General features: G+C 39.1%; 1 protein-coding gene and 1 long non-coding RNA gene across 5 annotated transcripts in view; one reads left to right on the top strand and one right to left on the bottom strand.

The window, feature by feature from the left end:
• The window catches only part of SEM1 (SEM1 26S proteasome subunit), a 228,221-nt gene that overhangs the window by 178,276 nt on the left and 27,603 nt on the right, over nucleotides 1-22,342 (top strand). The window lies entirely within an intron of this gene.
• On the bottom strand, nucleotides 270-22,340 carry LOC105375412 (uncharacterized). Its single transcript, XR_927781.3, has 3 exons — nucleotides 22,232-22,340; nucleotides 12,098-12,212; nucleotides 270-352 (listed from the first exon to the last, which is right to left on the bottom strand). It is a non-coding gene; the product is annotated as an uncharacterized LOC105375412 (long non-coding RNA).

Raw genomic sequence — 22,342 nt, 5'->3', positions numbered from 1 at the left:
AGTGACATGATGATGGCTCACTGCAGTCTTGACCTTCTGGGCCCACACAGTCCTCCCACATCAGCCTTCTGAGTAGCTGGGAGGGATTACAGATGCACACCACCCTGCCTGACTAGTTTTTCTTTTTGTTTGTTTTTTTTTGTTGTTTTTTTTTTTATATTTTTTATAGAGACAGGATCTCACCATGTTGCCCAGGCTGGTCTTGAACTCCTGGTCTCAAGCCATCCTGCTGCCTCAGCTTCCGAAAGTGCTGGGATTACAGGCGTGAGCCACTGTACCTGGCCTGTTGTGCATTTTCAATGTAAAGCCATGAGCCTTGATCTCACTCAAAGAATCTTCATTCATATTTTTCCTATTAGAGCATAAATTTTCATATGTGCAATCCATATTTATAATTTTCAGAGTGCTTTCATGTTTATATGGTCATCTTTCTATCCCTTATGTCTTACTTCATCCATAATAATATCTCCAACATGACTTTTAGCTCTTAGAAACTAAAATCTCTAGAAGATAGTCTTTTTCCCTTCCCCCATAGCTAAATTCTATGATCCAGACCCAGATTATTGCAACAGTTTTGATTGTTTTGGGCATGGCGCCTGACTAACTGTGTGTTAAATAAATGTTCCTTTTCTCTTCCTCTCATGATGATCATGTTCTTTAAGACCCAGCTCAACTTAGCAGAACAAGGAATCCCTTTTCCCTCACCCCAACCCACATGGATTGTTCTCTTAATTTTACACAGTGTCAACTCTTCTCATGTACTCTTTCCTACTCCCTATCCTTCTCAGATGTTTTGAATCCACTCCTAGGCAACTTACAGGCACTATAATGGATCAATGTTTTTTCAGCTCCATCAGGAGTTCTGGTGGAATCCTGCTTAGGAATGCTACGCCGAATTGTTTTCTGGTCTTTGGCCACTAGAGAAATGGAATCACTGGGAATGAGGCATCACTGGGACAGTTTATCCCTCATGAGGACCCTGATGCCCCGATACCTGAGGGACGTTTACTATGACTTCCAGGCAAATTCCTGGGGCTTGTGCTCTTTTTTGTTCCCAGCAGATCCCAAACTAGGAATGTGCTTCTCATGTTCTCTGGCAGACTTCTTACAACCACTTCCTGGGATCATAGCACTCACTCTGTTTTCCTGGACTTGGTTTCAGTTCCCATGTTCCCTAGATGAGACCTCCATGGGGCCCTCACCTGTGGTGGATGTGGCCAAGCTCTGCTACTTCCAGGCACTGTTTTATGCTGTAGTGCACCTTGACCTCCACCACCAGCAGCTACTCTTTCACCATATCCCCTTAAGTTCCTGCTGATTCCCTCTCTCCTGCTTCCCTGCCACCACCAGCTGTCAATTGCCACCCACCCAGTCCAGACAAGCTATGGCCTTTCCTAGCAATCTTGCCTTTCCTCAGCACCAGGGGCTAGATCCACTGTAATCTTGGCCTTTCCTCATTGTCATGTTACAATGGTAACACGAACGGGAGCCACAAAGAACCACCACCTAGAATCAGGTCTAAAACAAATCAAATTGTGCCATCCTCAGATATCCACGAATGCTAGTTGAGAGTTTTCCCATGAGTTAAGTAGCATCTTCTGCACAGTGTTTCAGGAAGGAAGTTGTACAACTGTTTTTATGCTAGGAGCCAGGGATTCCCAGAGCTCCTCTACTGTAATTCAGAATGCATTAGTACCGCAGTGAAAGCTCTTCCTTTACATATCACCAAGATAATTTTTAAACCCAAAGTGTGTGTTTGTTTTTAGAGGAGGATCACAGTTACTATACATGAAAAACATTTTATTTGTATCTCCCCAACGATTGCTGAGGTGAGTGTAAAACACTTGGACAACTATTTCTGTAAAGTGATGGTCTTTTTTAGAAATGAGACTTTTCTGTACTCCAAATAATTCTAAGTGAGAACCCTTCTTCAAGAACTACAATTTTTTTTTTATCAAGAGCTGCAGTTGTATGAGTGACATACATTTTATTCCTAATGCAAAAATTTTTGCCATACTTATGATAATTGAAATACCAAATTATTTTACATGAATATTTTTATGAGGAAGAGATAACTGATTTTTAGTTTGAGATGAAAATTAGAAGAGAAATGCTATTACAATATGCAAAAGTACTTTGTAACTATGATCCAGCAAATAAATACACAATGGTGTTATTAGTGGAAGTAGTTCCTAAATAAGCTACTTTTGATATGGTATGAAATTCAAGGAGGCCTTCATGGTAGGGAAAAAAGTGGATTTCAAATTAGCGTTTTGTTTACTTTATAAATTAACATTTTTAATTTAAGAAATTAGGTTATACAATCTTTTATCCTTTCTTTTTTCTTTTGTCTTCTAAAAAGATTGGGAGGAGGGAAGGAATGTCTACAAGCTGCTATATCCTGAAAACTTTTCCCATTATGCAATGTTAGCCAAACCCTGGGACATGGAGTAAAAAAGTGATTTTGTATCATAAGGGATGAGGTCAGTTACCTAATCACCATCCAATACACTTTATTCTTTCTTCCAAACCAAAATGAGTTGCAGGATAGACTGTATTGGCAATAGATGTTTCATTTGTGTTGCTTAAGTTTTTGAAATATATTTTGGGTAAATTGCATTAAATTTATTAGGTACGGGAATATATTTTAGAATACAATATCTAAGGTTATCAAATGGTATATATTTCAATGTTTGGTGCAGAAAGCCACGGTGGTAGTATGCTGCTGGTGGGTATAGGATGAGAAGACATCTCTCTCTTCCATACTCTAGCACTTTAATATGTATGTGCATCACATGGAGAGCTTGATGACTGCAGATTCTGAATCAGTAGGTCTGGAATGGGTCTGAGATTCTGCATTTCTAACAAGCTCCCAGGTGATATGAATGCTGCTAGTCTAGGGACCACACCTAAAGTAGCAAGCCTAGATGTCAAAATTGTTTTATCCCAGATTTAGAAAGTGTCTTGCACAAATTTTGTAGGTTGTTTTTGAATCAAGATGGCATGCCTGTCTGATGTATCTTACAACTAAGTTTTGCTCATTTCAGTCTTCTCAAATTTGTCCAGAATTATTGGGCAGGGTTGGGCATGGTGGGTAATGCCTATAATCCCAGCATTTTGGGAGGCTGAGGCGGGCAGATTGCTTGAGTCCAGGAATTCAAGGCCAGCCTGGGCAACATGGTGAAACCCAGTCTCTAGTAAAATTACAAAAATTAGCCAGGTGTGGTGGCACGCCTGTAGTCCCAGATACTTGGGAGGCTGATGTAGGAGGATTGCTTGAGCCTTGGAGGCAGAGGTTGAAGTGAGCTGAGATCACGCCACTGTACTCCAGCCTGGGTGACAGAGTGAGACCCTGTCTCGAAACAAAACAACCCCACAAAATTATTGGGCAAATGAGCATACATACAATGGGCAATTGAGGTTTAATAACATGAAGCCAATCTGACTGCACAAAACTTCTATACATATACCATAAATTGTCCCTGAGAGATTAAAAAGCAGTTCTGAGTCCACTGGATTTGAACCTGGGAATACGAGTTTTACAAATCAGCAAAATACAGAAACATCATCCTGCAAGGAGCTGATATCATGAACCATACATATTCCTATTGTGAGAATTACTGGCAAAAGCAGAAGGAAAACAAAAACCCTTTGTAGATTTTAATTATTTCCAAAGAGTAACAACAACAACAAAAAAGAACTCAGAACATGCCATCTGGGGATGTGGAATTTAGAACAAATGAGGTTTGCTTTCTAAGAATGGCACTCAGGAGAGAAACCAACAGCTAAGCAGGGTATAACTGAGAGCTAACAGTCTGCATATTTTGTTATCTCATGAAAAGCATAATTTACCAGTTGTGGCAATAATAACAATGATAACGATGTGAATTAATAAACTTGCTAGTGAAACCACCATTCAAATACACGTTGGGTAATTTAATTAGCCTTGGCTGCACTTTCTCTGTCAATCCCAAACTTACAGGGATTGAATTGTTAAGTACATTTCTCACTCTGTGATTCTGAGAAGTTTATTTTTACCTGGCAAATTATTTTAAATGTGAGACAAAGCAGGGCTGCAGTGGTAAAATCACATAGGAAGCCCATGTCCCTGTTCCCCAAGCCTGGGCCCTCGCTACCCGCACCCTGGTACACAAAAAGCTGGTGTGAATTTCAGATCCTGGGTCTGCTCTAAATCATGGGAACCAGAGAAATTAGAAGTGACACCGTTTACCCAGGGGCCTTTGCCGCAGAATATTTTTTTTGGAACTTTTACATCAGTCTCAGAACTCACTGGCTTCATTAAGTCACGTGTCATTGTGTTAGGAAGGAAGGCAAGAACACGTTATTAGCTAGGGATTTTTTTCCCTTTCCCTCCGCCATCCTCCTTTCTCATTTCACTTCATTGCATGTTTCCCTTCCCTCTCTTCCCCTTCAAGGTATGCATTATATATCTTTCATCTCAGGGCTCTTTATGTACCAACCTGAGTTAACTTTCTTGGTGCACATACGAGGAAATACGTTTCTTTATGTTCACAGAGTTTTGGAAGAGAACTCTGTGGCACTGGTTGAGGGATGGTTTATGGGTCATCATTTTACTTCCCTGTTGGTATATTCTTGCCTTTCTTTTACCCACGTCTTCTTCCTTTCCTTTTAAAGCTTACATTTTTAGAGTAAGGGACAAAATCATGAGCAATAACTTTTTTTTTTAAGGAGGAGGAGGACGACTGTCATTGAAACTAATATGTCTGCTTGATAACAAAAAACTGTCCTAACCTCCCACAGAACACAAGCCCCAGGGGCTGGGAAGAACAAAGCCACCCTCTGAAAGGAGAAAGGAGAGGGGAGGGCTTGGGGGAGTCATGTGCAGCTTCTCATCACTGTGGCACCAGCCAGAGCCCACAAACCATTTTATCATCCTCTGGCCCCAAGAGATCAAGGAAGGCACTGTTTGGAAAGTTGCCTCCAAGGAAGTCTTTTGTTTGTCCTGGTGGCTTTCCCTGCCTTTTCCTAGGATACTCAGCCTGGTCTGAGTCAAAGGAAGCTGCCAGGACCCTTCTTTTTCTTTCTGGTTTAGTTTGGGTGGTGGTCTTCATTGAGCACTTCCTGACTTGTTTCTATGCCTTCCTCTCCCCCGTGTAAACTGGGAATCTTGTACTGGTAGTTGGGAATAAGAAGAGACCATTTTCTCTTTATATTGAGGACTCATTTCACCTCCAAGTCAAAAGCAACTTTGTCTATTGTTTGCAGAAACTTTGCATACTCTATGGTTTTGAAAATGAAAAAAAAAAATAAATGCTTTAGGCCTAAGGAGGTACCTGTGCCCAGAGAACTGTTTTATCACTGTCAAAAGTCATATCAATGTCTGAAAAATACACTTCACCTAAATATATAATGGTGAGTGATATTATTTTCTACATTGCTAGTAAAGAAATATTGTTTAAAAATAATAAAGTTTGACAGGGGTTGGTTTGAGGTCATGGGAATGACTGCTAATAGGTATGAGGTTTCTTTTGGGGGTGATAAAAAGATTTTAAAATGAATTGAGGTCATGGTTGTGCAACCCTGTGAATATACTAGAATACATTGCATTGTGCACTTTACAGCAGTGGTCCCCAACCTTTTTGGCACCAGGGACCAGTTTTCTGGAAGACCATGTTTCCATGGACTGAGGGATGGTTTCGGGATGAAACTGTTCCACCTCAGATCATCAGGCATTAGTTAAATTCTCATAAGAAGCGCACAACCTAGATCCCTTGCAAGTGTAGTTCACAATAGGGTTGGCGTTCCTATGAGGAGTTAACGCGCCTCTGATCTGACAGGAGGTAGAGCTCAGGCAGTAATTCTGGCTTGCCTGCTGCTGACCTCCTGTTATGCAGCCCAATTCCAGCCTGGGGCCAGGGGTGGAGACCCCTGCTTTATAGGATCACTTGGAGACCTTTTTAATTTTACTAAGGTCCAAGCCCTACCAAACATCAAATGAAAAAGAGGTGAGAAGAGGCCATCAGTATATTCTAAATATCCTCCTTCTTCTTAAAAATCTGAGTTGAACATTCAGATGGTTCAAAATCACAACAATGTAAAAGAACTCACTTCCAGTCTTCTCTCTATCCGAGTTGTACCCGGCCTCCACTCTATACAGAAGTAACCACTTTTATTAGTTTTTGTGAATCTGCACGTGCACTCGCAAATGCCTCAGGATCACTTGGAGGGTTTGTTAAAACACAGACAGCTGGGTCCCACCCACAGAGTTTCCAATTCTTTAGGTCTGGTGCAGGGCCCAGAATTACATTTCTAACCAAAAAAAAAAAAAGGAGTCAGGACTAGACAAGATCAATGATGAGAATAAGAAAAGGGAGGGGTAATTGTTTATATAAGAGCCTGAGATTGGCACGCAGAGAAGGTTTAAAGGAGCAGTGGGGATGAGAGTGGTTAAGGAAGATGTGTTTTCCTTAGACAAACTTGCAAAGGAAGGGCCAGGGTCAAGACATTCAGAGACTTGAGGCTGGAGAAGAATCAGCCACCCGTAGTGCACTGTTCAATATGGCAGCCACCAGCAGTCTGTGGCTGTTGAGCAATTGAAATGTGGCTAATCTGATTGAGGACATATATTTTTAATTTAATTAAGTTTAATTAATTGAAATGGATATGGAAAAACTGATATTTCATTCAGTTAATGAAAACTTTTAAGTATGCTTCGAACAACTTGGTATAAATCTGTGTTTTCAACTGTAAGTTTTATGATATTTAAATACAGATCAAATAATTCCCATGAAAATCTAGCATCTGAATTGAGATGTTCTAGAAGCATAAAATATATTCAAGATGTTGAAAATCTAGCATGAAATAAGATTGTAAAACATCTCATCAATAATTTTTATGTTGACTACATAATGAAATAATAATTTTTTAATATAATGGGTTAAATATATTAATTAAATAAAAGTAATGTTATTAATCATATAAAAATAATTCCTGTTCATTTTTACTTTTTTAATGTACTTACTAGAAAATTTGAAATGATATATGAAATAATTATATTTTTATTGGACAGCACTGATTTATACCTGTGGCATGGAATAGAGTAGCTATTAGCTATACGTTGCTATTTAAATTTAAGTTAATTAAAATAAAATAAAATAAAACATCCAGTACCTCAGTCTTACTAGCTACAATTTTAGTGTGCAATAGCTGTACATGCCTACTGGCTACCATATTGCATAATGCAAATATAAAACACTGACATCATCGCAGGAGTTCTATTGAGCAGCTTTGGTCTATATCTTTTCAGTGAATTAAGAGAAGAGGTCCTGTCCTAGGGGTGATGTTGAGAATTCGGAGGAGAGAAATAAAGGTATGAAATGGCGGATGTAGAAATGCTTCAGGGCATCTACAAGAGATGAGTAGAAGGATTGGAAGTGTAGCCAGAAAACCCTCACAAAAGCGAGGCAGTTGAAGATTGACAGAGACAGAGCATGGCAGCATGTCCAAAAAGTCTACATAAGAAGTGCCCTGTTTAATAGGCTAACCAGAAACTCCAGGTTAGGGAAGAAGAGGACAACAAACCCAAAAGGGGACAGAGGTGAAGCATATTGTGAACGTCCAAGGGAAAAAATGAAGATCACAATGAAAGCAACAAACAAAACAAAGTTTGTTAAACGTAAGTGAGAAATGAAAGGGGTGAGATGCATCATCTGATAAGAGAAATAATAGGAGAAATGTTTAAGTTTGTGTCATTGGGGTGGAACAATTTCAAGGGGTGATGGAGGCTAAGTTTTGACTACATCAGAGGGTAGTTGAGTTTGGAGTTGATAATGAAGGAGCCAGCATATTTGAATGTCAACAACATTCAATAGTTTTTGAGGATGATAGCTGGTAGAAAAGATAGGGAGAAGACTGGGCAGGTGCTGAAGGTGGAAGAGTATCCAGGAGTTGGTGGGTGGCTGTGGTCAGGAAAGGGAAATGTTGAATAAGCTAATGGTCTGAACCGCAACAAAAGCTGTAAAGAGAGGAGAACGATGATCAGAGTGATGTGGGGAACCAAGAAATATGCTGATTTACGACACTGCCCTGAACTTCCTTAGTAAAATGTGATCTTTCCCTCTTTTGAACCCTGGGGCATTTTGCACTCCTCAGGTAAAATTTTTTATGCTTTGAACTGTGACTATTTATATAGTAATCTAAGCCCCGCCTCTTACTCCTCTTCCCTACCAACTTCCCTGATCCCCAACCACTGCCTCCATCAGATACACCATATATACTCTCGTCAGACTGGAAGTCCTTTGAAAGTTGGAACAATGTTTTCCTCATTTATTCCAGTTTCTAGATCTCAATAAGTTTATGTCAAACTAAGTTTGGTTGAGATTCTTGCAAGCAAAAATATATAGAGAGAGACTGGATTTATAAGTTTAGGTGAAAATTAGAAGAACATCTGTAGTGAAACATCACATAGCTCTGCCCTCTGTGTCTTCGTGTTCATTATTTTGTCAAAGATTTGAATGAAGGCATCCTTAGGCAAATAACACAAAGCTGAGCCACAGTTCATCTTCACAGATTGTTAAGCAGAAGCAGCCTATTGGCAACATAGAGGATAGATTCATGATAAAATGGGATCCAAGAAGAATGGTATCAGCACCTCAGTATCATTTAAACAACATCTCTCTTTTTTTTTTTTTTTTTTTTGAGATGGAGTTTCACTCTTGTTGCCCAGGCTGGAGTGCAATGATGTGATCTTGGCTCACTGCAACCTCCGCCTCCCAGGTTCAAGCAATTCTCCCACCTCAGCCCCTGGAGTAGCTGGGATTACAAGCATGTGCCACCACATCCGGCTAATTTTTTTTTGGGGGGGGGGTATTTTTAGTAGAGACGGGGTTTCTCCATGTTGGTCAGGCTGGTCTCGAACTCCCGACCTCAGATGATCTGCCTGCCTTGGCCTCCCAAAGTGCTGGGATTACAGGTGTGAGCCACTGTGCCTGACCCCAACAACATCTTTTTTTTTTTTTTTTCTCACAAAGCACTGTGCTGAGCTCTGCATATGGACCTGGCATGGCAGTAGTCCCATGGTGGAGTGCTAATCGTGCAATGTAGAACTATGAAGGCAAAAATGCAAAGCAGTAAATCTCAATGACCTGGTCCTCAGAACAGTGCCTACTAGTTGACTTGGGCAATCATTGTTAGAGCAAACTAAAAGTTTAGGACACAAACTGCCAAATAGGAGAAGCTAACATTCATCTACATAAGGACAACAGTTTGAGCCCTGTGACTGATATTTTAATTCCTCAGCACCCAGAGGTCAGGGCTATATATGCCCGGAATGGATCAGTTACGCAAATATAATGGTAACATAGAGCATGTGCCTGAAGCAACATGTCAGTCTGTGTCATCTTGGATGTCCCAGGAACTACACGTGATGTATGCCAGGATATCCAAAATACTAACATTGACTTCCTCCTGACTGCCCTTAATATCCTTTCGAGGGTAATTAACAATTTGGCAAAATTGATTTTGAAAAGAGGGGAAACAAAGACAAAATTTTATTTACTTTTTTTCTTCTCTTTCTCTAAGATCTGTTTCCCTCTGTACTCCTTACAGTTCAATTTCATGCTGTAAATAATTTTGTCTCATTTTGTTCTTGAATTTGGGGTAACTCTATAGTGTAAGGGCCATCTGGACACATTTGTTGTGACTCTCCTATCTACATTTGCATAACCTGGATCATCAACAGGAAAATGCAGCCTGAATTCTGCACAGAGAATGGCAAACCCCAGGCAGTGAAATGGAAAAACTTAGTCGGCCCAGGGACGCCTCCATTTTGGGCTGCAAATTTGGATATTTGGAGCCAAATTCTCATTCCATGTGACTCCAGGGGAGCTTTGGTCAGCGTGTAATTCAGTGTGGGTTGGGAAAGGAAAAGACAGAAGAACATGAAACTGCCAAGTTTGAGGCCCCATTACGCAGTTGTGACCTGACCGAAAATACCGTGCCGAGTTGTGTGTGGGTAACTCAGCCATAAAAAAGGCAGCTGTGGTCTTATTAGTCGTGAACTTGAGATCATTTTAGTAAAAGATGAATTGCCCCTAAATGATTGATCTGGTGTTTGGAGGAAATGCTGTTCTCTGTGCTTCTCTCAAATGGAGAAACTAACCAGACGCTTGTCCCACACCCAGAATGGGTATTTGTGGTGTGGCTTGTACCATGGCCTGCTGGGGAATGATGACCTTGGACTGACAGTTCCCCTTTAAGTAGCAAACTTGTGTTTTTCATCTTAACACGATATGCCAGAGGCACTGAATAACAACCTACATCCTTTCACACACCACATGTCTGCTCCGGGTTTAAGCTGATAAAAGCTGGAGAGAGTGTGTTCTGAGTGGTCTGACTGAGGCTGGAAATGGGGATATTCAATAAGAGATTGCAGGCCCTCCTTTTTCGCCCTCAGGCCCCCTCGAAGAAAATCATAGAGATGCTCTGTGAGCTTGGACTCAAAATAGTTTAAAATTTCAAGCCAAGGGGAATGTCCGTCCCCTTTTTTTTGTGAGGTTTTGCAGCAAAATAACCTGTTTTGTTTGCCTGAGAGATTAGATTTGTCAGCTTCGGCATTGCATGGGAAGGTCTGACCTTGAGAATTACGGGGCTCTCAGGACAATCAGCCATGGAGGAGAAAAGCAAGCCTTTTCTTGCTTGCTTTTGCAAGCTGGGATCAGTGGGCCAGACTCTCTCCGATAAGAACCCAGAAGGGGAGAGCCTGGGCATCGGGGAGGCCAGCCTACTAGCCTCTGTCTTCTCCTGAGTCACAGAAAAATCAAAACCTGGGAGCAGATGCTGGAACACAGACACCATACCCTTTTATTTCTGTTCCAAAAGAAATAGAGGTAGAGGATGGCTTTTCTTCCTATGCTGCCTCTTAACCTATACCACGGTGCTAGATTTTCTTCCGAAACTTCTCCCTACCTGTTGGCCCTTCCAGCCTTACTGGGGGACCAAGGAGAAGGAGGAAGAGACTAGAGAGTAACCCACCAGGATTGAGGTTACTTTGGTCTTGAAAATGCAGATTATTTTCAGGTGTGAACTGAAAATAAAGAAGTCAAGTGTTATATCAGCTATTTGGTGAGAATAAAAGCTTTGAGAATGTCTCCTGTTTGTATAGCATTTAATTACCTACCCAACAGTTTCTGCTGTTTCATCATCTGATTCTCACAAAAGTTCTATGAACTAGATCAAGCAGGTGTTATTCCCCAATTCTACAGATGAGAAAACTGAGCCCCCAGCTGATTTTGTAGCCAGAAATCACAGAAATATGTGGCAGAGCAAGCGTGGTCTAGGAATTTTGTCATTCTACACAGTTTCCTGCCAAAGTCTTATCTCATTGCAAAATAACACAGTATGATGAGTGACCCTTGGCATACTCTGTCATCATATCTTCATCTGTATGTATGTATGTATGATCCTACTTCAGCTTTGGTCATCTCAGCTGGGATGATTATAACATCTTTCTTGTGGCTGCCTCAAGCTTCCCTTCTTGCAATCCATCAAAATATTTCCCAGCAGGATCTTCTTGGCAGACCATTTTGGACTGAAGTGGGTTTCACTTCCCATGAGATAAGAGCCGAATTTCTAATTAAGAAGTCTATCAAGAGGCCCCTTCTTTCCCCCGTCTTCTTTCCTTGCAAGTACATGACTGTTAGGTGCTCCTTCTCACTCCGTCACCAAATAAGCTTGCTCTTTTTAATCTCTGCATGTGATCTAAAACTCTCGGAATAACCCCCCTTACCTGCATGGATAAGTGTGTACCTATACACACCTTTACCTTTTTGGCTAGCATAGGAAGGCTTTGAGATCTTTTCAGGACACTGGTTTTTGTTTATTTTCATTTTGTCTAAACACAGGAAACTTTCAAAATCTCAGCTATGTGGAGGGTCTCATCCTGATGACTCCCTCTGCCTGGAGTGTTCTGTCACCAGATATTAACATGGCTTGTTCCCTCACCTCCTTCGAGTCTTCACTCCAACTTCATTCCTCAGTGATCCCTCTTCCTCATCACCAACCTATTTAAAAAATCTCAACCCACCCACTCCCACTTCACATCTCCAATCCCACTTACCTTGATCTACCCTTTCTTTTTCCGTAGTATGTATCCCCTCCTAAAATACTGTGTAATTTACTCATCTGGTCTGTCTGCTGTTGATTGGTCTGACTCTTCTTTCTAGAATTAAGTCCTAAGAGGAGAGGAAATTGGGTTTTTATTGTTCACTGATGTATCCTAAATGCCTAAAGCAACGCCTGGCAGATAGAAAGTGCTCAAAAAAAATAGTTTTGTTGAATCAATGAAATTTCTGTCCTCTGTAAATATTACCTCCCTTCTTCAACCTTCAAGATTGTTCCCATTCCTCTCTGCCAGTCACTAGTTTCTTCACACCCAATTACATGAGACCAATAATTATTTCCAGTGCATAAAAATCTAGGTGCCAGTTTTCATATCTTGATAAAATGTGAAATGCTTCACCCCCTCCATCCTTTGTGACCCTTCTCCCTGCTCTCTACTTTCTGTCACAATAATTGCCAGCACATGTGTGTTACATGGAATGTTGTGTATAGGTCAGTAGATATCACTGGGTTAAAGTAAGGAAAAGAAAAGTTATTCAATGTTTGCAAGCACAAGGACAGAATCATTTGTGGTGGGGGTATTTGGATAATGGCAGCACATACTAGGCCATGCAGGCCATTGCATGTACAGTATTAGCTTATAAACTTTCCCTTACCATATGAACCAGTTGTTAGGGGAATGATGGAGTGGGGGGATGATATAAAACATCACCTCATTTACTAAAGAACTGAATAATTCGCAAAGAGATACATACCTGCCAAGCTAATCAGAATAATGACACTGGTTCACTTGATCATTGCCTTCTCAGTAAGGCAGTCTGCTTGGGAAACTAAATTATGAACTGAAGGGCTGCGTGATGAATATAAATTCAGAGAAAAGGAAATTGGTAGTGACTAACTGGCAGCAGTGATATCCCAACTCCAGTAATTAGAGATATGGACAGTGGACCAAATGGTCACATCAGTGGTCACAGTATCCTCAGCCTACACATGCCACAGACACAGTGGCATAGGCTGTCAGCCTTAATTCTCTTGTTCTTGACTTAATGACAACATTATACTTTTGTTATACTCATCGCTCTTTCACTCATTCTTATTTTAATATGCACATGGACTTTATATATTAAAATTTCAGTTTATAAGTTTCCAGTTTATTATATAGGCTGATTATATTTTATGCCCATTGCTAAGTGGTAATAATGGCAGAAACTTTCCACTCCAGCCCCGAATTTGAGTAAGAATAATATGGGGTGACTTTCCCTCAACACTATACCTTCAATACATGCATCCAATGCCATTGCCAATGGCATTAGAGAATGGATTACTACTACGATCTATGCAGATTACGTAAACTGTGATTTGCCTCAACCACAGAATTCACCATTCTGGCACTGGCCTATACTGCGTGTTCTCTAATTTCAAATGCTATATCCATCCTATATGATAATTGTCCTTGTATCATCTGGCCTAATGCCTTCTGTCTCTTAAGTACAGTAAACGTTCTTACGTGTTTTAAAATGAATGCAAGTATGCCTCTCCATCTACATATATACCTGTGCATAGCCTAAGTGAGACATGAAAGGCAAGCATCACAAATGAAAGGACTAGCAGATTTGACTACTGTCAAATATACTAGAGACTGAAAAACAGTAGTCTTATTATCTCAACATAATAAACGTTAACTAAACATATAACATATTGGGAGAATATATATGCCACATATTTAACAGACCAAACTTAACACATATGGGAGGAAATATTCACCATGACTATTTGTTACTATCCCAAGCATACAAATATTTATGTTAATTTAAAAAAAGACAACTATCAGGGAACAGCAAAGTATGTAAATAGGCAATTCTCAAAATAAGAACTTCAAATGTCCAGAAATATGAAGTTTCCCCATCTCGCTAGTGATTATAGACATATGTGCTAAAATTTTTAATACATATCTAACCCGAAAGATAAAGAATTTCATTACTTTGAAGAGTTCAACTATACATATGTTGAAAAGAATGTAGAGAAAGGGACAATCTCAAACTCCATGTCTAGAGTATAATGGCAACATTTTTTAAAGTTGTCTTTTAGAGCACTTTTACCTTTGCATCAAAATTGAGAGGAAGGTACAGAGATTTGTCATTTACCCTCTGTCCCAACAAGCATAGCATCCCCTTTTATCAATATCCTCCCACCAGAATGGTACATTTGTTACAACTGATGAATCTACACTGACACTTTATCACTCAAAGTCCATAGTATACATTAAGGTTCACTCTGGGTGTTGTACATTCTACACATTAGGACAAATGTATTATGATATGTATCCACCATTACAGTATCATGGAAGAGTATTTTCACTTCCCTAAAAGTTCTCCATGCTCCACCTATTTGTCTCTTCCTCCCAGAGCTCCTACAAACCACTGATCTTTTTATTGTCTCCATGGTTTTACCTTTTCAAGAATGTCATATATAGTTGGAATCATACAGTATGTAGGCTTTTCAGATTGGCTTCTTTCACTGGAAATATGCATTTATGTTTCTTCCACATCTTTTCATGGCTGGGTAGCTCGTTTCTTTTTAATACTGAATAATATTCCATTGTCTTTACACAACACAGTTTACTTATTCATTCACTTATTGAAGGACATCTTGGTTCCTTCCAAATTTGGGCAATTATGAATAAAGCTGCTATAAACATGTATGTGCATGTTCTATAAGTTTTCAACTCCTTTAGATAAATACCAGAGTGTGATTACTGGATCCTATGGTAAGAATATGTTTAGTTTTGTAAGAAAGCATTAAACTGTCTTCCAAAGTGGCTGTACCATTTTATATTTCCACCATCAATGAATGAGAGTTCCTGGTTCTCCACACTCTCACCAGCATCTGATGTTGTCAGTGTTCTGCATTTCAGCTATTCTAATAGGTGTGTAGTAGTATCCTACTGTTGTTTTAATTTACACTTCCCTGGTAATATAAGAGGTGGAGAATCTGTTCATATGCTTATCTGCTATCTGAATATCCTCTTTATTGAGTTGTCTGTTTAGGTCTTTGGCCCATTTTTTAAATTAGGTTGTTTTCTGACTAACAGGTTTAAGAATTCTTTGTCTATTTTGGATAACACTCTTTTATCAGACGTATCTCTTGAAAACATATTTTCTCCTGGCTTGTGACTTGTCTTTTCATATTTGAGACTGTCTTGCAGAGAAGAAATTTTTAATTTGGATGAAGTCCAACTTATCAGTTCTTTCTTTGTTGGATCATGATTTTGGTGTCATATCTCTAAAGTCATTGGTTATCTAGATTTTTTCTTATGGTATCTTCTAGGAGTTTTATACTTTTGCACTTTCCATTTAGGTCTGTAAATCCATTTTGAGTAATTTTTGTGACGTATATAAGGCCTTTCTTTAGGTTCTTTTTTTTTAAAAGAAAAAGATTTTTGTATTATTATACTTTAAGTTCTAGGGTACATGTGCACAACATGCAATTTTGTTATATAGGTATACATGTGCCATGTTGGTTTGCTGCACCCATCAACTCATCATTTACATTAGGTATTTCTCCTAATGCTATCCCTCCCCCAGTCCCCGACCCCGCAACAGGCCCCAGTGTGTGATGTTCCCTGCCCTGCGTCCCTGTGTTCTCATTGTTCAGCTCCTACTTATGAGTGAGAACATGTGGTGTTTGGTTTTCTGTCCTTGTGATAGTTTGCTTACAATGATGGTTTCCAGCTTCATCCATGTCCCTGCAAAGGGCAGGAACTCATCCTTTTTTATGGCTGCATAGTATTCCATGGTGTATATGTGCCACATTTTCTTAATCCAGTCTATCATTGATGGACATTTAGGTTGGTTCCAAGTCTTTGCTATTGTGAATAGTGCTGCAATAAACATATGTGTGAATGTGCCTTTATAGTAGCATGATTTATAATCCTTTGGGTATATACCCAGTAATGGGATTGCTGGGTCAAATGGTATTTCTATTTCTAGATCCTTGAGGAATTGCCACACTGTCTTCCACAATGGTTGAATTATTTTACACTCCCACCAACCTTGTAAAAGTGTTGCTATTTCTCCACATCCTCTCCAGCATTTGTTGTTTCCTGAATTTTTAATGATCATCATTCTAATTGGCGTGAGATGGTATCCCTTTGTGGTTTTGATTTGCATCTCTCTGATGACCAGTGATGATGACCATTTTTTCATATGTCTGTTGGCTGCATAAATGTCTTCTTTTGAGAAGTGTCTGTTCATATCCTTTGCCCATGTGGATATCCTTTTTGCATGTGGATATCCGGTTGTTCTGGCACCATTTGTTGAAAGACTGTATTTTCTCCATTGTATTGACATTGCCCTTTTGTCAAATATCAGTTGATTATATTTATGTGGGGCTCTTTCTGGGCTCTCTGCTCTTTTCCATTGATCTCTTCATACTCTTTCACCAATACCATAGTGTCTTGATTACTTCAGCTTTATAATATGTCTTGAGGTTGGTAATATTTGCTCTCCGTCAATATTGTGTTGTGTATCCTGGGTCTTTTTGCCTTTCCATATAAATTTTACAGTTTGTCAACATCCACAAAATAACTTGCTGGGATTTTGATTGAGATTATATTGAAGGTATATATCAGGTGAGAAAAACTGATATCTTGACAATAACTGAGTTTTCCTACCTATGAACATAGTATGTCTTTTCATTTATTTATAAAACCTTTTTTATTTCCTTCATCAGAGTTTTGTAGTTTTTCTCATATAAATCTTGTATATATTTTGTTAGATTTATACCTAACTGCTTCATTTTTGGAGGTCCTAACATAAATGGTATCATGTTTCTAATTTCAAATTTTACTTGTTCGTTGCTGGTATATAGGAAAGTGACTGACTTGTATATTAACCTCACATCCTGCAACTTTGCTATAATCACTTATTATGGAGGTTTTTTGTCAATTACTTAAGATTTTCTACAGAGACAATCATGTCATCTGTGAAGAAAGACAGTTTTATTTCTTCTTTCCCATCTGTATATCTTTTATTTCCTTTTCTTGTCTTGTTGCATTATCTAGAACTTCCAGTATGATGTTGAAAATGTAGTTGCAGCTGGGTATGGTAGCATGTGCCCATAGTCATAGCTAATCGGGAGCCTGAGATGGGAGGATTGCTTAACCCAGGAGTTCACGGCTATCCTGGGCAACATAGCAAGACTCCATTTCTTACAATAAATAAATAAATAAAAAGGTAACTGCAACATTTTAAAGAACAATTCGACAATTTTTTTCAAGACGTTAAGCACAAGTACATTTGACTTAGTAATTCCACTTCTATAATCTTTCTTAGAGCAATACTCTCAGAAGAGCATAAGGATATTTGAATAAATATGTTTGTGGCAACATTGCTTGTAATAGTAAATTTTCTTTCCCCAAATGTATATCATGAATCATCTGATAAATCTATAAAATAAAATCTGTGTAGCCATTATAATGAAAGAGTAGATCTGTATGAATTGATATGGGAGTATGTCCACAATATATTTATTAAATGAAAAAAGCAAGCTTCATAGTAGTATCCATTGTAATATTACTATAGTAATATTACATAGCAATATCTATGGTATAATCTCATTTTTATAACGAATTTTTTTATTTTTGAGACAGAGTCTTGCTCTGCTGCCCAGGCTGGAGTTCAGTGGCATGATCTCCACATACTGCAACCTCTGCCTCCTGGTTTCAAGTGATTCTCCTGCCTCAGCCTCCCGAGTAACTGGGATTACAGGTGCACACCATCATGCCCAGCTGATTCTTGTATTTTTGGTAGAGATGGGGTTTCACCATGTTGGCCACGCTAGTCTGGAACTCCTGACCTCAAGTGATCTGCCCACCTCAGCCTCCTAAAATGCTGGGATTACAGGTGTGAGCCACTGCACCCAGCCTACGTTCTTTACATACATATTAATAGATAAAAGACCTGGAAAGAAACATATCAACCCCCTAATGCTATCAGATAAGGATAAAAGTTTCCCCTTTTATTTCTGTACTTTATACTTCTCTAGTGTTGGATTTTTAAATACTAATCATATATTTTTTGTATGAGTTTCCTGGGGCTGCTGTAAGAAAGTACCACAAACTGGGTGGCTTAAGCAACAGAAATTTATTACCTCACATTTTCAAAGGTTAGAAATCTGAAATCAGGGTGCTGTCAGGGTTGGTTCCTTCTTGGGGCTGTGAGAGACACTCCATTCCGTGCCTCTCTCTTAACTGCCAGCAGCCTTAGGGATCCTTTGCTTGTTCAGGGTGTTCTCCTGGTGTCTTCCCATCCTCTTCCCTTGTTGTGTATCTGTCTCCGTATCCAAACTTCCCATTTTTATAAGGACACGGTTATATTGGACTGGTGCCTATCATAATAACCTCATCTTAACTCGATCATCTGCAAAGATCCTGTTTCCAAATATGATCGAATTCACAAGTTCTGGGAATGAGGACTTCAGTATATGGGAGGGGCAGTGTGTAATTCAATCCATGGTGTTAATTATGTAATGAAAGCAATTAAGAAAACGTGGTTTATGCTCTTCACTCCTACATCAACTTCTTTGCCTCCCTTCTATGTTTCTGTTGATGCTTTTTTTGTAAATATCAAAATGTGAGCAGCCTTTCTGACTCTTCCTCCTGAACTTTCTCCTAACCAGTGGCCCCTCCCATCAGGTATAACAGACTTTTTATGCTTTTACACTAGTGACACTTGATCACAAACCCATGAGTGTACAAGACACATGGCTTTGTATCAATAATAGTGGGAGTTTAGAGCCTCTGCTTCATTCCTAAGGATAGCAGTTCAAGAAATAATACATGCATTGTAGCTCCTGTGAGAGCTTTACTCAAGCCCGTTTCCCTTTTCTCACTAATCCTTCATAATGCCCTAGTTTCATAATGTGATTTAGTGAATTAAACTTGGACAGCCAGAAATTATATAATTAATTACATTTGGCTTCAATTATATTGACTAATTGATCCAAGCCTGTTCACAGGCTACCTGCAACCAGAGGTGGAACAGGCAGGTGGTGAGGGCTCATTAGCTTAGTAGTTCGTGTGTACTTGCTAATCTAATTTTAAAAATTGTTATAAATCTCAGATGGATCATACCATAAGTCAGAAGAGTCTCACTTCTTCCAAGCACCCCATGTTATATATGTTTCTCTTCATCAAGAGGCCTTTGTCATCTCACCTAGACTGCAGTCCCCAATGTCAGGCTCTCCCTACTCTATTCTCAAAACTCAATTAATTTTCCTGATATGGGCCTTAAATAATGGTGATCCTGGGCTTGGAGTGGGGACAGGAAGCAGTCGTGGGTACAGTAGAAATGGTTATGTGCCCCAGGAGCACAGTGTCCAAAAGCTGTGTCTTTTGATGAAATGGTTGTGAAAACTTAAGACTTTAAAGTCTGGCTAATTAAGATGTCCTCCCAGGAACAGCAGCAGCAGCACCTCAAAGCTTTTCAGAAATCCAGAATCTATGGCTCCACCCCAGACTACTGAGTCAGAATCTCAAATTTAACAAGAATGTCAGGTGATTTGTATGCATTTTAAAATGTTGAGAAGCCCTGCTTTAAAGGAAGTTTTGTGAAAACAATGGTCAGTAGGTTCCACATGTAACGTTCACATCAGTGGACAGACTGTGCAACCCAGTGAGAGGCAATCAAAAAAATACTATTTATTAAAAAAAAGTAATGTCCATTTTATGCACTTACTCTTCATGCTACCATCAATTTTAACCCCTTTTTTAGATGGTCCTTGATGTAAGAACCTGGGTATCCTCTGGTTGTAATTACTCCTCTTTTCACAAACACTGTGTATTTCCCAAAAATCTTCAATATGACATTCTATATTATATTCCAACCTAAATTTCTAGCCATATTTCCTCTTCCAATTTGTGCTATATACATCAGTCCAATAGGTGTGTTTGCTAATCCTTGGACAAACACCATGCATTCTTCCTTATTGGACATGCTAGCATAGACTTCTCACACTCTCTCCTCGTTCAGTGTCCATCTCCATGAAGACTTTTCATAATTCTTCAATCAAAAAGAATCTCTCTCTTGGAATCTTTATTAAATTGTATACCTCTCTTAAACTGATTATATTGTTTTTATGGCAGTCATTTTCTCTCCACTCGATTGGACTAGCACAGTGCCTAAATACTCAGCAGGTGATTAATAACAATTGGATAACTGACTGACTGAATGAATGAATCTGTGGTCAGGACATCACCAAATTATTCCTTGAGGACTGGTTACGTTCTAAAAACTGTGATTCTATTTGTTTTCTAATTCCTGAGGTGGTAGTATTCATATCATCTCATCTCATATAACACTCTCAGGCAGTGATTAGAGTCTACCAAGGACGTTTGCTTGAATCAAAACCAGAAGATAATGTCAGCCTTCCTCAGCCTACATCAAACCCAGACTGATGGTGGTTCCAGTGGCTGCAGGGGTAGCCAGGCCCTCTAGAAGAGGCAATCTCTTCATGACAGCCCTTCTAGCTTACACAGTTACTGAGGGTCAATCAGCTTTCAGGACATAATTTCATCCAAATAATCTTTTTAATCCAAAAATATCCCAAAGGAGCATTGATGAGAAGAGATGCATATAGCTGCAGCCAGAGGATGAAATGCCCAAACTATTTGCAATGACCACCTGCAGAGATTCTCATTTGATCTTCAGAAATAGCATTTTCAGGCATCAACTTCAAAAGCAGACTATTTTATAACATTATATCATGTTAATTTTACCTTCCCTGATATTGGCATGCTATGTGGTAATCCAGATTATACCAGATTGTACCAACTGTGATCCAACATACAGCTTCTCTTTTGAGATAGATTAGGTTTGGTTTCCTTTGCTTAAGCAAGTACAGTCATGTGTTACATAACCATGCTTTGGTCAGTGATGAACCACATATATGATAGTGGTCCCATAAGATTATAATACTGTCTTTTGACTGTACCTTTTCTATATTTAGATATGTTTAGATACACAAATATATAACCACTGTGTTACAATTGCCTATAGTGTTTGGTATAGTAACATGCTGTACAGGTTTGTAGCCTAAGAGCAATAAGTTAATCATATAGCCTAGATGTGTAGTAGGTTATTCCATCTAGGTTTGTGTAAGTACACTATGATGTTTGCACAACGACAAAATCACACACATTGCATTTCTCAGAACATATCCCCATTGTTAAGTGATACATGACTGTACTTCAAAGGTGGTGCACCTATCAAGAAACTATTGTAATGTGAATATCAATATCAGAAATAACTAAATCAGATTTCCTGTGGAAACCCAAGGGCGTATACAATAGATTTGAATTTAAAGTGATTGATAAAATGTAGTTTGGTGATTTTTATTATGGTAATTTATATGTAAGAAAAAATGTATCACTTTAACCATTTTTAAAATATATAGTTCAGCAGTATTAAGTATATCACATTTTTGTGAAACCATCACCACCATCCGTCCCCAGAACATTTTCATCTATTCCAGCTGAAAGTATGTACTTATTAAACATGAATTTCTTGTTCCTCCCCTCCCTCAATCCCTGGCTACCACCATCCTACTTTCTGTCTCTATGAATTTGCCTTGGATTCTAGATACCTCATTTAAATGGAATCATACAATATTTGTCCTTTTGCGTATGACTTATTTCACCTAGCATAACGTTGTCAAGGTCCATCCATGTTGTAGCATGCCCCAAAATTTTCTTCCGTTTTAAGGCTGAATAATATTCCATTGTATGTATATGTCAGATTTTGTTTATCCACTTATCCATTCTTGGATACTTGGGTTGCTTCTACCTTTTGGCTACTGTGAATAATGCTGCTATGAACATGGATGTCCAAATTGTAGTTTAGGTTGTTGAGACAATCTAGCATTTTGAACATGAGGTCAATGCATTTGGAGAAGCACAAGCTGTAGAGTTTGTTCTTCCATTGATTCAGTGTCAAAATCCACATTGATGCTGATAACTCATCATACATCAAATAACTAATTCTGATAATCAGTCCTTCAGTCTTTGTAACAACTAATGCTTATTAATGTGAAAATAAAATCTAAGCGATGTAAATGGGGATCTTGGCAATTTTACCTGAGCACAGATGATAATAAAGATTGCGTCTCTTGATTGGGAGGGGTGGCTCACTCCTGTAATCCCAGCACTTTGAGAGGCCAAGGCAGGTGGATCACTTGAGGCCAGGAG

The sequence above is a fragment of the Homo sapiens genome, chromosome 7 (assembly GCF_000001405.40).
Source record: "Homo sapiens chromosome 7, GRCh38.p14 Primary Assembly".
Taxonomy (NCBI): domain Eukaryota; kingdom Metazoa; phylum Chordata; class Mammalia; order Primates; family Hominidae; genus Homo; species Homo sapiens.
The sequence above is the reverse complement of the archived record's forward strand: the minus strand, read 5'-3'. Positions and strand labels throughout refer to the sequence as shown.